Below are 23,624 nucleotides of genomic sequence, written 5' to 3'. Positions count from 1 at the left end.
AGCCTATTGCTCCCAGGCTACAAACCTGTACAGCATGTTACTCTACTGAATACTGTAGGCAACTGTAACACAACAGCAAATATTTGTATATCTAAAAATATCTAAATATAGAAAAGGTACGGTAAAAATATAGCATTATAATCTTATGGGACCACTGTTGTATATGTGGTCCATCGTTGACCAAAACATCATTACGCAGTGCATGACTGCACTTTCCTTCCCAAAAGTCTACAGACTTTCCACATGCCTCGCTGGTTAGGCTCACATCACGTGCCCATTCCTAAACCAGTAACTGGCAAGAGTTTTCCATGAACAGATGGTGGGGAGTCAAACACAAAGATTCCAACATTAAAACTTTTGGGAAAAGTCTACAGATCATACATATCCTGTATTTTTGCTTCAGGATTTTGACCCAGGATTGTGAACTGATGTTTAAGCTGAATTATTTTGTTGACATAAAGAGAAGGAAACAATAGTCAGTTTAATGAACATTTATTATATATTCCAACTGAGTGAAAGGCACTATGCTAGGCAGTGAGAGAAATACAAATGAAAATAAGACTCAACCTCTTTTCTTACATTTTTTTTTTTTTTTTTTTTTTTGAGACAGTCTGTCTCTCTGTCACCCAGGCTGGAGTGCAGTGGCATGATCTTCGCTCACTCCAACCTCCACCTCCTGGGTTCAAGCGATTCTCCTGCCTCAGCCTCCCAAGTAGCTGGGATTACAGATATGCACCACCGCATCTGGCTCATTTTTATATTTTTAATAGAGACAGGGTTTCTCCATGCTGGCCAGGCTTGTCTGGATTCCTGACCTCAGGTGATCCACCCACCTTGGCCTCCCAAAGTGCTGGGATTACAGGTGTGAGCCACCATGCCTGGCCTTTTCTTACATTTCTTATCACGGTCATGGATACAGGCAGAGTAACACAAACTATCCTGCTAGGCAGTTTTTAAAAATAAGTACCATATTTGATGCGCAATTAAAATGTTATTGGAACAGATGGGAGATTTATTCAGAATGAGATTTTTGCTTCAAAAGCCATTACACCTAATTTTCGGATCTGTAACTGTCACAGAGCCATAGAAAGACGGTACGCCACAAGTTTGAAGAGAACATTTCACTCATTTTAGGAGTGCAACTGCTCTCCAAATGCCAAACTGCCATCAACTCACACCTAAGCATCAGGGTAAGCAAAGAGTTGGACAACCAAAGCACAACAGTGATGCACTTTCCACACACTGTAGGGCAAACTGCTTACAAACAAAACAACTTTTATATAAGGCCATAACATACTGATATGTTTTGGCTGTGTCCCCACCCAAATCTCATCTTGAATTGTAGCTCCCATAATTCTCACGTGTTGTAGGAGGGACCTGGTGGGAGGTAACTGAATCATCGGGGCGGGTCTTTCCTATGCTGTTCTCATGTGAATAAGTCTCACCAGGTCTGATGGTTTTATAAAGGGGAGCTCCCCTACACAAGCTCTCTTGCCTGCTGCCATGTAAGACATGACTTTCTACCCCTTTACCCTCTACCATGATTGTGAGGTCTCCTCAGCCATGTGGAACTGTGAGTCCATTAAACCTCCTTTCCTTTATAAATTACCCAGTCTCGGGTATGTCTTTATTAGCAGTGTGAGAACAGACTAATACGCATACATACAATAAAGTCCTCAAAAGTTACATTTACAACTCCATTAGCCTTTACATATGTATGAGTGGTGGTAACTCTTAGACTAGTAGCTAACACAGAAAGGGCTCAGTAAGTACCAGCTACTGTTGCATCTGCCAATTTGACAGGTGAAGAATGCAATCCTGATTTCATTTGCATTTCTCTGATAAATGGAGTTGACCCTTTTTCTGTGAATTACTTCTTCATTTCCTATAGTCTTTTCACTACTGAGATATCCGTCATTTTTTTCTAAAATGTAAAAGCCCATGATATATTAATGACACTCTGTCATGTTTCAGATATTTTCCCCAGTATTTCCCTTATCTTTTGAATTTATTTGCAACACACTAGTTTTTAATATTTATGGGGATGAATTTTCCACTCTTTTCCTTTGTAATTTTAGGCTTTGATGTTATGCTTTTTAAAAAAAAAAAAAAAAACCTTTCTTGACTATTTTACTAAATATAAACCTGCATTTCGGTATGGAACTCTTATAATTTCTTTTTTTACATTTAAATCCTTAATCCATATATAATTTATCTTTGCATATGATATGAGGCTAGAGAATCTAATCTTGTTTGAAATAGCTGGTTCTGACATTATTTATGAATAATTCATCCATTTTACCAGATTATACAAGTAGTCTTATCCATGGGGGATACATTCCAAGACCCCCCAGAGGATGCCTGAAACATTTGATAGAACAGAACCCTATACACACTGTTTTCAATCTGAGAATCCAGATGGCTGCTAAGTGACTAAACGGTGGGTAACATATACAGCGTGCATAAGCAGGACAAAAGGACAATTCACATCCCAGGCGAGACGAAGTGGGACAGCCTAAGATTTCATCACATTATTCAGCAACTTAAAACTTATGTATTATTTCTGGAATGTTCCATTTAATATTTTTATATTGTGATTGACTATGGGTAGCTGAAACCATGGAAAGCAAAACTGACAATAACAACTGTACTTGAAATTACATCTTCATATTCTCCTGCCTGGAACCGTCTATGATAGCTTAAAGTCTCCTGTATACCTTCATGCATCCATTTAATCCATTTATTATCATTATTCCATGCCTACTGTGCACCACACACTATGCTAAGTAGTGAAACAGACAAATGCAACTGTTCACACAAGGTAGCATAGCATCCAGTGGAAGAAAATCTTTAAATAAGTACCTATGCCAATAACTCATCACGGCTGTGTACAGTTCTGGTGTACTCTTTCCAGCTGAAAAAATCTTGTTTCAGATCTGCTCATTTCTTTACACATTTAGCGAGTGAGTCACAGTCAAGGAGAGCTGGTTCCAATTTCCAATAAGAAAGATCAGAAAGGACCTGGATAATTATCTTCACAGCAATCACAAGAAGACTCAGGCCAATGTGAAGAATTGGAAAGAACAGAATTCAAAGAAAACCCGAAAACATTAGCAGACAAAGTTCCATCAGCTCTGCCCACTCACAGATAGTCCTTAAATTCTCAGGCCTCTTTCCTGAGCAAAAGTCAGGCTCATGGCAGATGAGATCCCAAATAAACTTAATAAAACCAAGAATAGGGCAGAAAGGCAACTCCAGCCTGAGGTCATTTTGACCTTTGGAAGGGAAAACCAGCTGTCGCCTTTCTTTGTACTATGCCCTCCAAATTTTGCTGTGATGTCCCTATTTTCTACATTTGATAGGTTTCAGGCTGTGGGCAACTGTGTGGAACAGTTTTAATAGCTGAGATAAGAAGTTTTGCTTTACAAAAAAAAAAAAATCAACTAAAAACTGATCTTTCCAACCAGTAAATTCTGCATGCATTGTATGACTGCACTGTCACCAACAGTGATTACACTACAAGCATCAGTTTTCCAACTCAAACTAGAAAGGAATTCTTAAAATAAAAATAGGTATGTTTGAGAATAGCTAAATACAGGTGACACTTGAACAACACAGATTTGAACTGTGTGGGTCCACTTATACATGGATTATTTTCAATAAATATATTTTTAACATTTTTGGAGATTTGTGACAATTTGAAAAAATTCACAGATGAACTGCATGGCTTAAAAAAAATTAAAAAGTTAGGTACGTCAAAAATGCATTAAATATATGTAGATACCAGTCTATCTCATCATTTCTACCATAAAAAATATATAAATCTATTATAAAAAGTTAGAATTTATCAGCACTTACCCACACAAACACTTATAGACGGTACCTAGTACCATTTGCAGTTGAAAGAAATACAAACAAATGCAAAGACACAGTATTAAATCATAACTGCATAAAATTAACTCTAGTACTGTAATAACTTTGTGGTCACCTCCTGTTGCTATTGCGATGAGCTCGTGTTGCAAGTATCTACTCACGATACCATGTGACACTAATCATCTCTGTGTGAACAGTTCCTCTCTGCAGTAAATTGCCTATCACAGTAAAAAGTGATCTCTCGGCTGGCTGGCAAGATGGCCAAATAGGAACAACTCCGGTCTGCAGCTCCCAGCGAGATCAACGCAGAAGGCAAGCGATTTCTGCATTTCCAACTGAGGTACCCAGCTCACCTCATTGGGACTGGTTAGACAGTGGGTACAGCCCATGGATGGGGAGCAGAAGAAGGGTGGGGTGTTGCCTCACCTGGGAAGCACAAAGCGTTAGGGAACTCCCTCCCCTAGCCCAGGGAAGCCAAGGGAAGCCAGGGAACTCCCTCCCCTAGCCAAGGGAAGCCATGAGATACTGTGCCGTGAGGAACGGTGCACTCCGGCCCAGATACTATGCTTTTCCCACGGTCTTCACAACCCGCAGACCAGGAGATTCCCTCGGGTGCCTACACCACCAGGGCCCTGGGTTTCAAGCTCAAAGCTGGGTGGCTGTTTGGGCAAACACCGAGCTAGCTGCAGGAGTTTTTCTTCATACCCCAGTGGTGCCTGGAACACCAGCGAGACAGAACCGTTCACTCCCCTGGAAAGGGGGCTGAAGATAGAAAGCCAAGTGGTCAAGCTTAGCAAATCCCACCCCCACAGAGCCCAGCAAGCTAAGATCCACTGGCTTGAAATTCTCACTGCCAGCACAGCAGTCTGAAGTCAACGTGGGACACTTGAGCTTGGTGGGAAAAGGGGTGTCCACCACGACTGAGGCTTGAGTAGGCAGTTTTCTCCTCACAGTGTAAATAAAGCCACAGGGAAATTCAAATTGGGCAGAGCCCACCACAGTGCGGCAAAGCAGCTGTGCCTAGACTGCCTCTCTAGATTCCTCTCTGGCAGGGCATCTCTGAAAGAAAGGCAGCAGTCCCAGTCAAGGGGATTATAGATAAAAGTCCTATCTCCCTGGGACAGAACACCTGGGGGATCGGGTGGCTGTGGGCGCAGCTTCAGCAGACTTAAACATTCCTGCCTGCCAGCTCTGAAGAGAGCAGATCTCCCAGCACAGTGCTCAAGCTCTGCTAAGGGACAGACTGCCTCCTCAAGTGGGTCCTTGACCCCTATGCCTACTGACTGGGAGACACCTCCCAGCAGAGGTTGACAGAAACCTCACACAGGAGATCTCCAGCTGGCATCTAGCGGGTGACCCTCTGGGAGGAAGCTTCCAGAGGAAGGAACAGGCAGCAATTTTTGCTGTTCTGCAGCCTCTGCTGGTGATACCCAGGTAAACAGGGTCTGGAGTGGACCTCCAGCAAACTCCAGCAGACCTGCAGCAGAGGGGCCTGTTAGAGAAGGAAAACTAACAGAAAGGAATAGCATCTACATCAACAAAAAGGACGTCCACACAGAAACCCCACCCAAAGGTTACCAACATAAAAGAGCAAAGGTAGGTAAATCCAGGAAGATGAGGAAAACCCAGCGCAAAAAGGCTGAAAATTCCAAAAACCAGAACACCTCTTCTCCTCCAAAGGATCACAACTCCTCACCAGCAAGGAAACAAAACTGGACAGAGAATAAGTTTGACGAATTGACAGAAGTAGGCTTCAGAAGGCAGATAATAACAAATTCCTCCGAGCTAAAGGAGCATGTTCTAACCCAATGCAAGGAAGCTAAGAACCTTGAAAAAAGATTAGAGAAATTGCTAACTAGAATAACCAGTTGAGAGAAGAACATAAATGACCTGATGGAGCTGAAAAACACAGCCCAAGAACTTCGTGAAGCATACACAAGTATCAATGGCCTAATCGATCAAGTGGGAGAAAGGATATCAGAGATTGAAGATCAACTTAATGAAATAAAGCGTGAAGACAGATTAGAGAAAAAAGAATGAAAAGGAACAAAGCGTCCAAGAAATATGAGACTATGTGAAAAGACCTAGCCTACGTTTGATTGGTGTACCTGAAAGTGACAGGGAGAATGGAACCAAGTTGGAAAACACTCTTCAGGATATTATCCACGAGAACTTCCCCAACCTAGCAAGACAGGCCAACATTCAAATTCAGGAAATACAGAGAACACCATGAAGATATTCCTCGAGAAGAGCAACCCCAAGACACATAATCATCAGATTCACCAAGGTTGAAATGAAGGAAAAAATGTTAAGGGCAGCCAGAGAGAAAGGTTGAATTACCCAAAAAGGGAAGCCCATCAGACTAACAGTGGATCTCTCTGAAGAAACCCTACAAGCCAGAAGAGAGTGGGGGCCAATATTCAACATTCTTAAAAAGAAGAATTTTCAACCCAGAATTTCATATCCAGCCAAACTAAGCTTCATAAGCGAACGAGAAATAAAATCCTTTACAGACAAGCAAATGCTGAGAGATTTTGTCACCACCAGGCCTGCCTTACAAGAGCTCCTGAAGGCAGCACTAAATATGGAAAGGAAAAACTGGCACTAGCCACTGCAAAAACATACCAAATTGTAAGGACCATCAACACTATGAAGAAACTGCATCAATTAATGGGAAAAATAACCATCATAATGACAGGATCAAATTCGCACATAACAATATTAACCTTAAATGTAAATGGACTAAATGCCCCAATTAAAAGACACAGGATAAAGAGTCAAGATCCATCAGTCAAACTGGATAAAGAGTCAAGACCCATCAGTGTGCTGTATTCAGGAGACCCATCTCATGTGCAAAGACACACATAGGCTCAAAATAAAGGGATGGAGGAATATTTACCAAGCAAATGGAAAGCAAAAAAAAAGCAGGGGTTGCAATCCTGGTCTCCGATAAAACAGACTTTAAACCAACAAAGATCAAAAAAGACAAAGAAGGGCATTACATAATGGTAAAGGGATCAACCCAACAAGAAGAGCTAACTATCCTAAATATATATGCACCCAATACAGGAGCACACAGATTCACAAAGCAAGTTCTTAGAGACCTACAAAGAGACTTAGACTCCCACACAATAATAGTGGGAGACTTTAACACCCCACTGTCAGTATTAGATAGATCAACAAGACAGAAAATTAACAAGGCTATTCAGGACTTGAACTCAGCTCTGGACCAAGTGTGCTTAATAGACATCTACAGAACTCTCCACTCCAAATCAACAGAATATACATTCTTCTCAGCACCACATCACACTTTTTCTAAAATTGACCACATAATTGAAGTAAAACACTCCTCAGCTAAATGCAAAAGAACGGAAATCATAACAAATGGTCTCTCAGACCACAGTGCAATCAAATTAAAACTCAGGATTAAGAAATTCACTAAAAAATGCACAACTATGTGGAAACTGAACAACCTGCTCCTGAATGACTACTGGGTAAATAACGAAGTTTAGGCAGAAATAAATAAATTATTTGAAACCAATGAGAACAAAGACACAACATACCAGAATCTCTGGGACACAGCTAAAGCAGTGTTTAGAGGGAAATTTATAGCACTAAATGCCCACAGGAGAAAGCGGGAAAGATCTAAAATCGATACTCTAACATCACAATTAAAAGAACCAGAGAAGCGAGAGCAAGCAAATTCAAAAGCTAGCAGAAGACAAGAAATAACTAAGATCAGAGCAGAACTGAAGGAGATAGAGACACAAAAAACCCTTCAAAAAATCCACGAATCCAGGAGCTGGTTTTTTGAGAAGATTAACAAAATAGATAGACCACAAGCCCAATTAATAAAGAAGAAAAGAGAGAAGAATCAAACAGACACAATAAAAAATGATAAAGGGGATATCATCACTGATCCCACAGAAATACAAACCACCATCAGAGAATACTATAAACAACTCTATACAAATAACTATAAACACCTCTAGAAAATCTAGAAGAAATGGATAAATTCCTGGACACATACACTCTCCCAAGATTAAACCAGGAAAACGTTGAATCCCTGAATAGACCAATAACAAGTTCTGAAATTGAGGCAGTAACTAATAGACTACTAACCAAAAAAAGCCCAGGACCTGAAGGATTCACAGCAGAATTCTATCAGAGATACAAAAAGGAGCTGGTACCATTCCTTCTGAAACTATTCCCAACAATAGAAAAAGAGGGACTCCTCCCTAATTCATTTTATGACACCAGCATCATCGTGATACCAAAACCTGGCAAAGACACAACAAAAAAAGAAAATTTCAAGCCAATATCCCTGATGAACATCAATGCAAAAATCCTCAATAAAATACCAGCAAACTGAATCCAGCAGCACATCAAAAAGCTTATCCACCACAATCAAGTCAGCTTCATCCCTGGGATGCAAGGCTGGTTCAACATACACAAATCAATAAACATAATCCATCACATAAACAGAACCAATGACAAAAAGCACATGATTATTTCAATAGATACAGAAAAGGCCTTTGATAAAATTCAACACCCCTTCATGCTAAAAACTCTCAATAAACTAGGTACTGATGGAACATATTTCAAAACAATAGGAGCTTTTTATGACAAACCCACAGCCAATATCATACTGAACGGGCAAAAGCTGGAAGCATTCCCTTTGAAAACCAGCACAAAACAAGGATGCCCTCTCTCACCACTCCTATTCAACATAGTATTGGAAGTTCTGGTCAGGGCAAGCAGGCAAGAGAAAGAAATAAAGGGTATAAAAATAGGAAGAGAGGAAGTCAAATTGTCCCTGTTTGCAGATGACATGATATTTAGAAAACCCCATCATCTTAGCCCAAAAACTCCTTAAGCTGATAAGCAATTTCAGCAAAAGTCTCAGGATACAAAATCAATGTGCAAAAAATCACAAGCATTCCTATATACCAATAACAGAGAGCCAAATCATGAGTGAACTACCATTCACAATTGCTACAAAGATAATAAAATACCTAGGAATCCAACTTACTAGGGATGTGAAGGACCTCTTCAAGGAGAACTTGCTCAAAGAAATCAGAGAGGACACAAACAAATGGAAAAACATTCCATGCTCATGGATAGGAAGAATCAATATCGTGAAAATGGCCATACTGCCTAAAGTAATTTATAGATTCAATGCTATCCCCATCAAGCTACCATTGACTTTCTTCACAGAATTAGAAAAAACTACTTTAAATTTCATATGAAACCCAAAAAGAGCCCATATAGCCAAGACAATCCTAAGCAAAAAGAACAAAGCTGGAGGAATCACGCTACCTGACTTCAAACTATACTACAAGGCTATAGTAACCAAAACAGCACAGTACTGGCACCAAAAGAGATATACAGGCCAACAGAACAGAACAGAGGCCTCAGAAATAATACCACACATCTACAACCATCTGATCTTTGAAAAACTTGACAAAAACAAGCAATGGAGAAAAGATTCCCTATTTAATAAATGGTGTTGGGTAAACTGGCTAGCCATATGCAGAAAACTGAAACTGGACCCCTTTCTTACACCTTATACAAAAATTAACTCACGATGGATTAAAGACTTAAATGTAAGATCTAAAACCATAAAAACCCTAGAAGAAAACCTAGGCAATACCATTTAGGACACAGACATTGGCAGAGACTTCATGACTAAACACCAAAAGCAATGTCAACAAAAGCTAAAATAGACAAATGGGATCTAATTAAACTAAAGAGCTTCTGCACAGCAAAATAAACTATCATCAGAGTGAACCAGCAACCTATAGAATGGGAGAAAGTTTTTGCAATGTATCCATCTGACAAAGAGCTAATATCCATAATCTACAAAGAACTTAAACAAATTTACGAGAAAAAAACAACCCCATCAAAAAGTGGGCGAAGGATACGAACAGACACTTCTCAAAAGAAGACATTTATGCGGCCAACAAACATGAAAAAAGCTCATCATCACTGGTTATTAGAGAAATGCAAATCAAAACCACAATGAGTTACCAGTTAGAATGGCGATCATTAAAAAGTCAGGAAACAACAGATGCTGGAGGGGATGTGGAGAAACAGGAACACTTTTCACTGTTGGTGGGATTGTAAATTAGTTCAACCATTGTGGAAGACAGTGTGGCAATTCCTCAAGGATCTAGAACTAGAAATACCATTTAACCCAGCAATCCCATTACTGGGTATATATCCAAAGGATTATAAATCATTCTACTATAAAGACACATGTATGTTTACTGCAGCACTGCTCACAATAGCAAAGACTTGGAACCAACCCAAATGCCCATCAGTGATAGACTAGATAAAGAAAATGTGGCATATGTACACCATGGAATACTATGTAGCCATAAAAAAGGATGAGTTCATGTCCTTTGCAGGGACAGGGATGAAGCAGGAAACCATCATTCTCAGCAAACTAACACAGGAACAGAAAACCAAACATCACATGTTCTCACTCCTAAGTGGGAGTTGAACAATGAGAACACATGGACACAGGGAGGGGAACATCACACACTGGGGCCTGTTGGGGGGTGGGGGCCTAGGGGAGGGATAGTATTAGGAGGAATACCTAATGTAGACGACAAGTTGATGGCGGCAGCAAACCGTCATGGAACGTGTATACCTACGTAACAAACCTGCAAGTGATCTCTTATGGTTATCGCATGTTCTTCGTCTTTAGTGCAATATTGTAAACCTTGAATAACACCATAGGTAGGAACCATATAAAGTGCTACTAGTGATGTTGGAATTTCTTCCAAGAAGCAGAGAAAAGTCATGACATTACAAGAAAAATATGAATTGCTTGATGTGTACCATAGACTGAGGTCTGCATCTGTAGTTGCCCACCATTTCAAGATAAATGAATCCAGCATCAGGACCATTGTTAAAAAGAAAAGGAAATTTGTGAAGCCATTGCTGCAGCTACGCTAGCGGGCACAAAAATCTTTTTGTGAAATACATTTTTATTTCCTATTGAAAATGCAGCTTTTATGTGGGTACAGGATTGCTATCAAAAAGGCTACAGACTCTCATATGATTTGAAAAACAGGGAAGTTATTAAATGACAACATAGAGCAAAGGGAAAGTGAAGGGTCTAAAGCTGGATAATTCAATGCCAGCATAAGATGCTTTGATAATTTTAGAGGTTTGACTTAAAAAAAAAAAAAAAGTCAAGATAATAGAAGAAACAGCTTCTGCTGACCAAGAGGCACCAGCCAAGTTCCCAGGTGCCAATAAAAAAATCATGGAGAAGAAAGGATATCTTCTCAAACAGGTTTTAAATACAAACAGAAGTACCCTCATCTGGAAAAAAAAAATGCCACAAACGAAATAATCTGCACACCAAACCCCTATGACACACAAAATACCTATATAACAAACCTGCACACAAGTACCCTTGAACCTAAAAGTTAAAAAAAAAAGAGCCACAAAAGACATCAATTAGTAAGAGAAGTGAGCATGATTTAAGGCAGGAAGGGATAGGTTAACTCTACTGTTTTGTGCAAATGCAATTAGATTTATGATCAGGACTGCCCTTATCTATAAGGCTGCTAACCCCTGAGCCTGGAAGGGAAAAGATAAATACGAGTTGCCAGTCTTCTGGTTTACAACAAAAAGGCTTGGACAAGACCCCTTTGTCTGGATTGGTTCCATCAATGCTTTGTCTCTAAGGTCAAGAAGTATCTTGCAAATAAGGAACTGTCTTTTATAGTTCTTTTGATATTAGACAATGCCCAGGTCACCCAGAAACCCAAGAGTTCAACATTGAAGGTATCAAAGTGGTCTGCTTTCCCCCAAACAGAAGGCTTCTAATTCAGCCTCTAGGGTCAGGGGATCATGAAGACCTTTAAGGCTCATTATACATGATACTCTATGGAAAAAATTTTCAAAGCTATGCAAGAGAACACTGATAGAACATCATGAAATTCTAGAATGATTACACCATTGAAGACAATATCATTGTTATAGAAAAAGCTGTGAAAGCCATCAAGCCTGAAACAATAAATTTGTGCTGAAAAAAACTGTGTCCAGATATCATGCATGAATTCATAAGATTTACGACAGAGCCAATCAAGGAAATCATGAAAGAGATTGTGAATGTGGCAAAAAAGGTGGGGCAGGTGGAGTGAAGGGTTTCAAGACAGGGATCTTGGAGAAATTCAAAAGCTAACAGACATCACACCAGAGGAATTAACAGAAGACAGCTTGATGGAGATGAATGCTTCTGAGCCACAGTGCCAGACGATGAGGAAGATGGAGAAGCATCAGTATCAGAAAACACATTGACATTAGACAATCTGGCAGAAGGGTTCTGATCATTCAAGGTTGCTTTTGACTTCTTTTATAACATGGACCTTTCTATGATACACACACTAAAACTAAAGCAAATGGTAGAAGATTGGTACTGTATAGACATATTTTTAGAGAAACTGAGCCAGGAGAATAGGGCCTGGAGGCAGGGAACTTAAGGCCAATTCGCACTGACTTCCTAGACTGAATCAAAAGGAAAACCCCAACTTTCCACGCCCAAGTAACAAAAGGATCAGAGGCTCTCCCTTTGCAGCTCCTCTGCTTCTGTGTCACAGATGAAAAATGGCAAGTACTTCTGGTCCCCTCCTGCAACCAATCAGACTGGTCACAAGCCTAGTCTTTGCGCAGGGTTACAACTTTGTAACTTCACTTCACCTTCCACAACCAATCAGATGTTTGCATAGGGTGTAACTCTGTAACTTCACTTCAGCCTCTGATTGGTCACCCAGCAACTAATCAGACTGGCTGCAGACCACTACCTCATTTAAATAGGGTGTAAACCAAGTAACCAATGGGAAACCTCTAGAGGGTATTTAAACCCCAGAAAATTCTCTAACCAGCACTCTTGAGCCACTTGCTTGAGCCTGCTCCCACTCTGTGAAGTGTACTTTCATTTCAACAAATCTGTGCTTTTGTTGCTTCATCCTTTCATTGATTTGCACGTTTTATCCAATTCTTTGTCAAACAACTCAGAGTCAAGACCCTCCACTGGTAACAAAATGAGTAAGTAAGAAAGTCAGACAGAAATTACAATGTATTTCCATAAAGTTACAATGAGTATGCCTTCTTCTTCTATACCTCTTCCACCTGTGCCAACCCCTCTGCTTCCTCCTCCTCAACCTACTCAACCTGAAGACAATGAGGATGAAGTCTTTAATGATGATCCACTTCCATTTAAAGAACAGTAAGTATATATTTCTCTTCCTGATTTCCTTAGTGATATTTTCTTTTCCGTAGCTTACTTTATTGTAAAAATACAATATATAATACATATAACATATACAATATGTGTTAACTATTTATGTTTCACTAAGGCTTCTAGTCAATAGTAGGCTATTAGTAGTTAAGTTTTCAGGGAGTCAAAAGTTATACATAGATTTTTGACCACAAAGGGGGTCAGCACCCTAACTCCTGCATTGTTCAAGGATCAACTGTATAAGTAATTCTTTTCTTTGTAAAAATCTTTTTTCTTTTTCACATATTCCTCCCTCATTAAACCCATCTTGATGGTGACAAGTTTGACTTTATAATAACCTAAAAAAACTAGGTTATTTTATTCAAACAGATAATTTAAAACAAAACTGGTAATTTTTATTTATTTATTTGTTTTGAGACACAGTCTTGCTCTGTCACCCAGCCTCCAGTGAGCTCAGCTCACTGCAACCTCCACCTCCTGGGTTCAAGTGACTCTTCTGTCTCAGCCTCCCAAGTAGCTGGAACTACAGGCACGTGCCACCACGCCCAGCTAATTTTTATATTTTTAGTAGAGACGGGGATTCACGTTGGCCAGGCAGGTCTCAAACTCCTGACCTCGTGATCTGCCCACCTTGGCCTCCCAAAGTGCTGGGATTACAGGTGTGAGCCACCGCACCTGGCCTTTATTTTTACTTTAAAATAAAATTGATGTTTCTGAAATCCATGCTGAAGAAAAAAGATGCTAACAAATTCACTCATCACCATGCACAAAATTAAGCTTTCTAAACTCTACCATAGAAGAGAATAAAGATCATTCTACCCTGGGAAGACATCCAAATGCTATATATCCCAACTCTTTAAAAACTAGCTCTGGTTTCTCTGAGAAACAAAATACATCCAATATTACATATGTGAAATTAAATAAGCAGGAGGCCATTAGCCTGAGACTCCCTTGGTACTTGTAGTTCCTATATAACAAACTGCAATCTACCTCAGTAATAAACAAACCAAAACCTAACTTAGCAGAATACTTTTGTAACGAATAGCTAGGTTTAAGCCAGACAGAAACAGGTGAGCTTCAGCCAGTCATAGGCAGTCAAGTTATCAAACCATGCACAAATAGGGCAAATGCCTAGCTGTAACCAATCCAGTTATTTCTGTAGTTTACTTCCAAGTTCAATTTATACTTATAAAAGCATACTCTCTGTGCCACAGAGTGGAACACTCTGAACCTTTCAGTTTTGAGTGCTAATTCATAAAATTGTTCTTTGCTCAAACAAACTGTTAAATTTAATTTGTCTAGAGGTTTTAACAATTAAGTTTTTGGTGTCAGAAGTGGCGTCCAAAGGCGACTTCCAACAACCGCCCAGGAGCACCCTAGTGACCAAATGAATGTATTTGCTGGGTCTATTGTAACCATTCCTCTCTCACAGCAACTGGAGGTTGTGTGTGATTTCCCTTTCAGATTAAAGCTACACAGATTTGTGTTTTGAGCTCTCCAAATTTACTTGAACAATTCTTTTACCAAACAGGGTCCAGAGACTGGGTCCAGTAGAAGGCCTATGATAAGTCACAAGAAGACAGGGAATCATGAGTTCATCTGGATCCATGGAGTCTAGAACTCCTCCATCTGGAACTATAGCCAATTTCGTGTATAAGAACTACAGACTCAGGGCATGTTGCTTTTCTAGAAAAATGAAACTCACACACACACAAAAAAAATTAGAATTCCAGTGGCCCACAGTGGGAAAGTTTTAACCTACATAAACTTGTTCACTTGCAAGGCACACTACAAAAGAAAGAATCCAAAATGCTTCATAAGCAATGAGATGCATTCTTTAAATTGGTACATACAGGTAGTAAAAGATTCCTTACAGAAGGCAAATGAAAACCTTAAGTAGCTTAAGGATGATACAAAAAAAGACTGTATCTTGACTGATTCAAACCTGTTTTGTTCTTTCTCTTTACCCATCTTTACCTCAATACTCTGAGTCTAATAACCTTTTTGCTCAACTACTCTTTCATTCTAAAGATAATGAGAAAAGGCAAGTTAGACAAATGCCTTACAAAATGGGATTCTCTGATCAGCCAGGCCTGCCTGCCATAACCACCTTTACTCCATGGTCAAAAATTAAGCTTCCAGACACGGTAAAAGACTTCCCTAGCCCAGGGAAAACACTCAAAAATGTACTGAAGATTTTAGAATTTGCACAGGAGCTTACAAGCCAGGACTCTCTGACCAATTTATTCATATGATACTGGGACATGGCAAAGCTTGAAAATGTATGACAAGAGAATGGGAAAAACTTAATCAGGATATTAAAGACTCCCCCAAAACCTCATCAAGAGTAGGGCCAATGAGACCTAGAAAAATTGTTGAAAACCTTTAAAATTCAATTCCTAAGATTTTGCTACAAAAAATTGATTGGTCCATCATACAATCTCATAGACAAAAAATAGAATGAACCAGTTTCAGATTACAGGGTCCATTCAGAAAGACTATTTGTAAAACATTCCAGGTTCCAATACACCAAGGGATACTTCTGGCAGTGCCTGAAACAGGATTAACTGCTCTATTTGTAAATGGAGCTCATCCTGAACTTAGTAACCTGAATAAAAAACACAAACCAGGATGGGAGGTTATAGATATGATTGAATTGGTGGCCCTAGCCCAACATTTTGAGAGAATAGAGTAAGTAAAAGACTAAAGGTCGAAAAGCTCATGTCTCTCTAATTACAATAACCACAAAGACCAAGACCAAAGGGACTTCCTCTCCCTTATTTTAAGCTAAAACCAAGAGATCTTAGACCAAGAAATTATTTGCCCTAAGGTGTCTCCCTTCATTGCAAACAACTAGGATGCTGGAAAAGAGATTTTGCATTCTTATTTCAGTATACCAGTAAGCCTCCTTCCTTGGGGCCATACTATTTCCCCACTAGAATGAGTCCACAAGGTCTTAACTCTAGAGATAATAATCAACATTGATGAGCATCCAAGGAATTCTCCAGAAAACTGCTCCCCATAATACCTTTAAATAAACATGGATAAACAGCAACTCAAAGTACTATTAAAAAAAGAAAAGAAATAAACATGGAAAAACAAAAGTTAAAACAAATGAAAAATCTTATACAATTCTGGTGGATACTAGAGCCACTTTCATCTACTATAAACTCTACCTTAATAAGCTAATACATCCCTCAGAGTAAAAATGTTTACTCTGTGGAAACATTATTTCTGTGGTAGGGTTTCAAATCAAGTTGAAAAGGTTCCCATACTGGAAGCCATCCAACTGACACTGGTGTCATTTACAGAAAATCATACTTTTTAATTATGTGATACTGCCCCAGTAAATCTGCTGGGGCAAGACTTGCTCTCCAAGGCAAAAGGGCATATAAAATTCTCTTTCAGAGGGACAAATAATCTTAGAGTTTCCTGACTCTCCTGAACCAGAACTGTTATGCTCTCTAAAGGCAGAAATTGAAAAAATATTGGTGGGATGACTATTCTAAAATTGCTAAAATGGCTTATAACTAATGTTTGGTTTATCAAGCTCATAATCCTGGAAAGATAATCCAAATTTTAGGTGGTACATTTCTACTGCCTCCTGGACCATTTGAATGTTTACAGATGGATTTCATCAATTGCCACCCTTAATGGGATAACAATATGTTCTTATAAAAGTCTTTGTGTTCTCTAGACGGATAGAAGCTTTATCATGTAGGAAGGCCAATGCTATGACAATAAGTTATTAGAAAGTATGTTTCCTTCTGGGGCTTCCCTGGAGGAATTTCCAGCAATAGAAGAACCTGTTTCACTGGACAAGTTATAAAACAGCTAAAACAGTTAATCGAACACAATGGTATTACCATCATCCCTAACACCCTTAATCTTCTGGAAAGCTCAAAAGAACAAATGAAACTTTAAACTGAAATTGGTAAAGTTAACTGAATTGATTGAATTGCCTCGTCCAAAGGTATTACCATTGGCCTTATGGGCAACTAGATCCACCCCAACAGAAAATACAAAATAAATTAGTTTCTTATGAAATAGTTACTGAAAAACCTATGCCCCTAATAATTAAACCTCATATATCTCCTGCTCCTGTAAACTGACATGACTAAATACTGCAAGGCCTTAATGTATTATGCCAAAGTATATTTTCACCAGGTTAAAAAAAAAGCCTTTCACGATCTATCAATGGAGGACAACCAAGCATTTCACAATCTGGAACATGGAGATTGGGTCTTCTGAAAACAACATCAGTGAAACACTGCCCTCAAACCCCTATGGAAGGGACCATACCAAATTCTTACCATCCACACTGCAGCAAAAGTTCAGACCCTCAAGACTTTTGCTGCAGTATGGGTGGTAAGAATTTGATCATGGATCAAGAGTTCTCTTCTCTGTCATCATGATAACTATGTCCCTTTTCTTTTTCCCTTATTTCCTATTGTCTTAATCTTTCCTTTTCCTTACAGGAAAATCCATAGGACCATAATTTGCAATGGCTTTAGGTAAGGCTCATGCTCTAGCAGAAAAAACAGAGCAACTGTTTGGGTTTGTGGGCTAATGGGTAAAAACCAGGAAACAACTCCACTAATGCCAACACCTCTCTGAGTTCCCGAAGAGAATTACCCTGAAACCCCAAAGGAAGAGAAAGCAATCCTTGATGTTCTAAATGTCACTGCTATTTGCTTGCCTACACTCACTGAAAGGAATATCCCAACCTTTCCAATTAATAACCTAACCACTATCAAATATAGAACATCAAACCAAGTGATGCCTACAAAAGGTATATTATGCTTCCAGGTATCACATACTCAAGACTTGGGGACTATCTATGTGGGCACCGGTGATTATTTGTATAATGTCATTGGATTAAATATAGTAAGGTGCTTTTCCACTAAATGTGGTTATACACATTATGCTATAAAGGGAACAGGTTGGAGGCAAGATGATCAGCTAGATGCAGCCAGAAGGAACATCTGCCACCAAGAGACTGGGATATCAGGAAGACTGGTGCACTCCCAGCAGATCTTCAGAGGGAGGGCACTGAGAGTGGATGAAGGGAAGACACAGATGCTGGGCTGAAGAGGGAGGAAGCGGGGAACCCTGCAAGGGGCTACCACACACTAAGACTCGTTCCTGGCCCCCGACTCCTGGAAAAGGGGTGAGTTGAGCAGGCAAGCAGCAACTGACTCCCACCACAGGCCTCTGGAATCTGGCAGGAGACCCCAGGACCCCCATGGACTCTTGAGCTTGCAGGGAGAGCTGCTTAGAGAAGTGGTAGGGCAGAATTCTAGCTGGTGCAGAGCCCAGAGGCTTTGGTGCGGGAGCATCTGTAGTGGATCATGGCCAGGGACGCCCATCACCCATGACTCACCTTGCTCCCCTAAGAGACTTCAACCCTAGAGGAACTATCAGACTTGAAAAATGCAGGGCAGTCTTGCCTATGAGACCTGGCCGATCGGAACTAAGCACTCCTCAGTTTCCTGACCTCTCCCTGGGCCTCAGCCTGGCTGTCCCTGCTTGCAGTGCAGCCTTAGATGCCCAGGTGGGGTGCGTCCTGGGGGCCTACGCTATAGCACCTGAGTTGGCAGATCGTGCCTGAATGGCAGAGAACTCCAGTACTACCCCCACCCACAACAGACCGTGCACCAGACCACCTGATCCCACTCTCTCCTCCCACTGCAGACTCCCCCATGGCACCTTGCCTGCAGACGCTGGCATGCAGCCAACCCCCGAATCACTTTGCCAGCACCTGTGTACACAGACCTCGCCTCCAATTTCCTGCCAGTGTGTGGGTACATGTGCACCTGGCCATGCCACTACTGCTGGCTTGAGCACACTGCACCCGACCACCATGCTGCCACTGCCACTGGAGTATCTGCAGGTACGGAGACCACCAGTACCCCACTCCGACACCAACACTGCCACCAGCTGCAAAACTAGGCACAGTGACCAGTGGACCTGCCCTGCGCCCTGTGCAGCCACTGCAGCCAGCATAAACGTGCGCACATTTGGCACCAGTCCCGCAGCCACCAGTACCCTGCCCCTGTGTCAACACTGCCAGTGGTGTGAAACTATGCATGGAGACCAGCAGCCCGCCCCCTTACCCTGAGTGGCCACTGCTACCCATGTAAGCACACGCACAGAGGGCACACAAAATCTAGCAGCAGCCACAGCGCCCCACCCCCATGCTAACACCACAGCCACTACAAATGCCTGCACAAAAACAGCACCCTTGCAACTGCCAGCACCCCTCTGAAGCTGATGAGTGTGCACCGCACCCCACTGCTATTGCTGGCATGTGCATATGAGGACAGATCCCACTGCCACTGCCATACAAAGCACTTTGGCTGGCACCACCCATTGAAGTGTTCTGACCAGTGGTCCAGAAATATCTTGGCCCCTCTAGCACAGCAGGTACCTAACCTCCAGTGGCCAGAGAACAAAGCCAGGGGCCTGATATCAGCCCCCCAGAATTACAGCATACAGTCCAGGAATCCTGAGTTGAGCCTTGGCCCCTGAAAACCTTCTAGAAATGAAGCCAGTTGACTAAACCCACTTTATACCACAATTAAACACACAAGGACATAAAGTAGGATAAAAGAAAAAAAATCATCCAAAGGATAGCAACTTCAGCGACATGAGCCCACAAAGATAAAAAAGAATCAGTGCAAAAACTGACAAAAGCACTAGAGTATCTTCTTACCTCCAAAAAACTACACTAGTTCCCCAGCAATGGTTCTTAACCAGGCTGAGATGGCTGAAATGGCAGAAATAAAATTCAGAATATAGACAGGAATGAAGATCATCAACATACAGGATAAAGTCAAACCCAATCCGTGGAATCTAAGGATTACAATAAAATGATACAGAAGCTGATAAACAAAACGGCCATTATAAGAGAGAACTAAACCGATCTGACAGAGCTGAAAAACACACTACAAGAATTGCATAATGCAATCACAAGTATTAACAGCAGAATTGACCAAACTGAGGAAAGAATCTCAGAGCTTGAAGATGGCTCTCTGAAACATCTTTTTCTTTATTGGAGAAAAAAAACAATAAAGAATGGACAAAACTTCCGAGAAATATGGGATTATGAAAAGAGACCCAATCTATGACTCATTGATGTGACTGAAAGGGAGAGAAACCAAGCAACTTTGAAAACATATTTCAGGATATCGCTGATGAAAACTTCCCCAACCTTGCTAGAGAGGCCAACATTCAAATTCAGGAAATGCGGAAAACCCTTGTGAAATACTACACAAGCAGACCAACCTAAAACATACAGTCATCAGATCCTCCAAGGTGGAAATGAAAGAAAAAATGCTAAAGGCAGTGAGAGAGAAGGGGCAAGTCACCTACAAAGGGAAACCCATCAGGCTAACAGCAGAACTGTCAGCAGAAACTCTACAAGCCAGAAGAGATCGGGGGCCTATATTCAGCATTCTTTATTTATTTATTTTTATTATTATACTTTAAGTTTTAGGGTACATGTGCACAATGTGCTGGTTAGTTACATATGTATACATGTGCCATGCTGGTGTGCCACACCCTCAGCATTCTTAAAGAAAATAATTTTCAACCAAGAATTCATATCTGACTAAACTAAGCTTCATAAGCAAAGGAGAAATAAGATCCTTTTCAGACAGGCAAATGCTAAGGGAATTTGTTAACATCAGATCTGCCTTACAAGAGTTTTGGAAGGGAGTGCTAACTATATAAAGGAAAGACTGGGTTACCAGCCGCTACAAAAACACACTTAAGTAGGTAGATTAGTAACACTATAAAGCAACCACACAGACAAGTCTGCATGGTAACCAGCTAACAATATGATGACAGGATCAAATGCACACATATCAATACTAACCTTGAATGTAAATGGGCTAAATGCCCCAATCAAAAGAAACAGTGTGGCAACTTGGATAAAGAAGCAAAATCCAATGGTATGCTATCTTCAAGAGACCCACCTCACATGCAGTGACACTCAGAAGCTCAAAGTAAAGGGATGGAGAAAACTCTACCAAGCAAACAGAAAGAAAAAGGCAGGGGTTGCTATTTTAATTTCAGACAAAACATACTTTTACAAAAATAAAAAAAGACAAAGAAGGGCATTACATAATGATAAAGGGCTTAATTCAATAAGACCTAACTATCCTAAACATACATGCACCCAACAGAGAAGCACCCAGATTCATAAAGCAAGCATTCAGAGACCTACAAAGAGAGCTAGATAATAGTGGGAGACTTTAACACCCCACTGACAGTATTAGGCAGATCATCAAGGCAGAAAGCTAACACAGATGATCAGGACCTAAGCAACCAACACAGGAACAGAAAAATACCACATGTTCTCACTTATTAGTGGGAGCTAAACGTTGAGTACACATGGATGCAAAGAAGGGAACCAGACATTAGGGCCCACTTGAGGATGGAGGGTGGGAGGAGGGTGCAGATTTAAAACTACCTATTGGGCACTATGCTTATCACCAGGTGATGAAATAATCTGTACACCAAACCCCCACAATACCCAATTTGTCTATATAACAAACCTCCACATGTACCTCTGAACCTAAAAGTTAAAAAAAAAAAAAATGAAAATAATAAAATGTAAAACATCTTTTTAAAAGGAGGGGAACTATAAAAAAGTAAGTTTCCTCCTGGACCTTGTTCAGGAGCTATGCAGATGTACCAGTGGATGAACTGAACTGACTGATGCTCAAATACCACTAGGTAGCCCTCTTTTCCAGCCTCAGAGGGTCTGCCTGTATTGGTCTACAGAAAATATGCTTACTCCATTTTGCTCCCCACTGGTTAGGATCTTGCTATTTGGCATGGTTCAATCCTGCCTTCCAAATAGCTTCCCCAAAAGTCCCCATAAATACCTCCTATTATCAGAGTCTAAAATGGTCAGCAATTGAAATTTGCACCAACCTTGGAATAGATGAAGAAAATAAAGATAAGCTAGTTTCCAGCCGGGCACGGTGGCTCATGCCTGTAATCCCAACACTTTGGCAGGTCAAGAAGGGTGGAACACGAGGTCAGGAGATTGAGACCATCCTGGCTAACACGGTGAAATCCCGTCTCTACTAAAAATACAAAAAAAAAAAAAATTAGCCGGGCATGGTGGTGGGCGCCTGTACTCCCAGCTACTGAGGAGGCTGAGGCAGGAGAATGGCGTGAACCCGGGAGGCAGAGCTTGTAGTGAGCTGAGATCGCGCCACTGCACTCCAGCCTGAGCAACAGAGCAAGACTCCATCTCGAAAAAAAAAAAGATATGCTAGTTTCCACTGAGGAAAGATTACAGTGGGGCTCCTGGGGACTCACTCTTTGTAGTGGTTGGGTGCTAGTCATATGGAATTTAAAACTAATGCACAGATAGGGAAAAATCTTATTTTATGACCAACCAGACCTCCTGGGGTAGGAGCCACCCTCTGAAAGCATTTAACAAAAGCACTTAATGGGATATCATGCAGCCTTAGATCTCCTCTTTGCTCATGTTGGGGGTTATGTATGGTGCTAAACAAAACTGAATGTTGTACCTATTTTTCCAGATTTTGCTACTACAGAAAATTCAATACAATTTGTAGCTGACACTATTGTTTCTTTGGACACTGCCACCATATGCATGAAAGAAATTTCTCAAGGGAACAGAACACATGATGTTTGCAGGAGGAGCTAATGGTTAGTTTGCAGGCATCCCAAACAGTGGACGACATGCTGGGCTTAGGTCTCCTCTTTGCCTTATTTAGGCAAACACCTAGCTGTAACCCATCAAGTTATTCCTGTACTCTACACACCAAAACCTAACTCAGGAGTGTATTTTTATAACAAATAGCCAAGTCTGGCCAATCACAAACAGCCAAGCCTCAGCCCATCGGACAAGGCAGCCTTAGATCTCCTTAGATCAGACCATACCTATGGGACATCAGGCAGCCTTAGGTCTCCTCTTTGCCTTATTTAGGCAAACACCTAGCTGTAACCCATCAAGTTATTCCTGTACTCTACTTCTGTGTTCAGCTGATAAAAGCACACTTTCCTTGCTGTAGAGCGGAGGTCTCTGAACCCCTTTCAGTTTACAATGCTACCTAACTCATTAATCATTCTTTGCCCAAAGAAACTCTGTCAAATTTAACTTGTCTAAAGTTTTTAACATATAAAAGCACCATAGGTGCCTGAAAAGCAAAAGAACCCGTGAATCACATTCTTTTTCACAGAATTTGCAGACATATGTCACCTGTTTCTTTTCAGATAATTTATTTGACTATTTCTTTTTTTTACTTGCTGGACTGTCCAAAACTTCAATCTTGCCTTTTCCACCTTCAGAATTGGGAAGCTTAATGTTATCTATGGTGACTTCAGATGGGATGCTGTCATCTTCGTCTTCTGATTCTGAACTGTTCTCTGAACTGTCTTGTGAACTCTCTTCTGAACTGTCCACTTCTTTTGAATCCGACTGATTCATCTCAAACAAAGCCACATC

General features: G+C 40.7%; 1 protein-coding gene across 1 annotated transcript in view, besides 1 other annotated feature; it reads right to left on the bottom strand.

Annotated features, from left to right (window-relative positions):
- The window catches only part of NOPCHAP1 (NOP protein chaperone 1), a 31,310-nt gene continuing 8,162 nt past the window's right edge, over positions 477–23,624 (bottom strand). Inside the window, exon 4 of the mRNA NM_152318.3 lies at positions 477–23,624. Within this exon, the coding sequence (NP_689531.2) occupies positions 23,406–23,624 (219 nt within the window). The 3' untranslated portion in view covers positions 477–23,405.
- Positions 18,513–19,013: an enhancer, noted in NCBI's record as "H3K4me1 hESC enhancer chr12:105392867-105393367 (GRCh37/hg19 assembly coordinates)". NCBI's record gives its function as "activates a minimal SCP1, AML or CMV promoter by ChIP-STARR-seq in naive H9 embryonic stem cells {active_cell/tissue: H9 hESC(naive)}" and the evidence as "EXISTENCE:reporter gene assay evidence [ECO:0000049][PMID:30033119]".

The sequence above is a fragment of the Homo sapiens genome, chromosome 12 (genome assembly GCF_000001405.40).
Source record: "Homo sapiens chromosome 12, GRCh38.p14 Primary Assembly".
In the NCBI taxonomy this organism is placed as follows: domain Eukaryota; kingdom Metazoa; phylum Chordata; class Mammalia; order Primates; family Hominidae; genus Homo; species Homo sapiens.
This window is presented reverse-complemented; position numbering and strand designations above follow the sequence as displayed.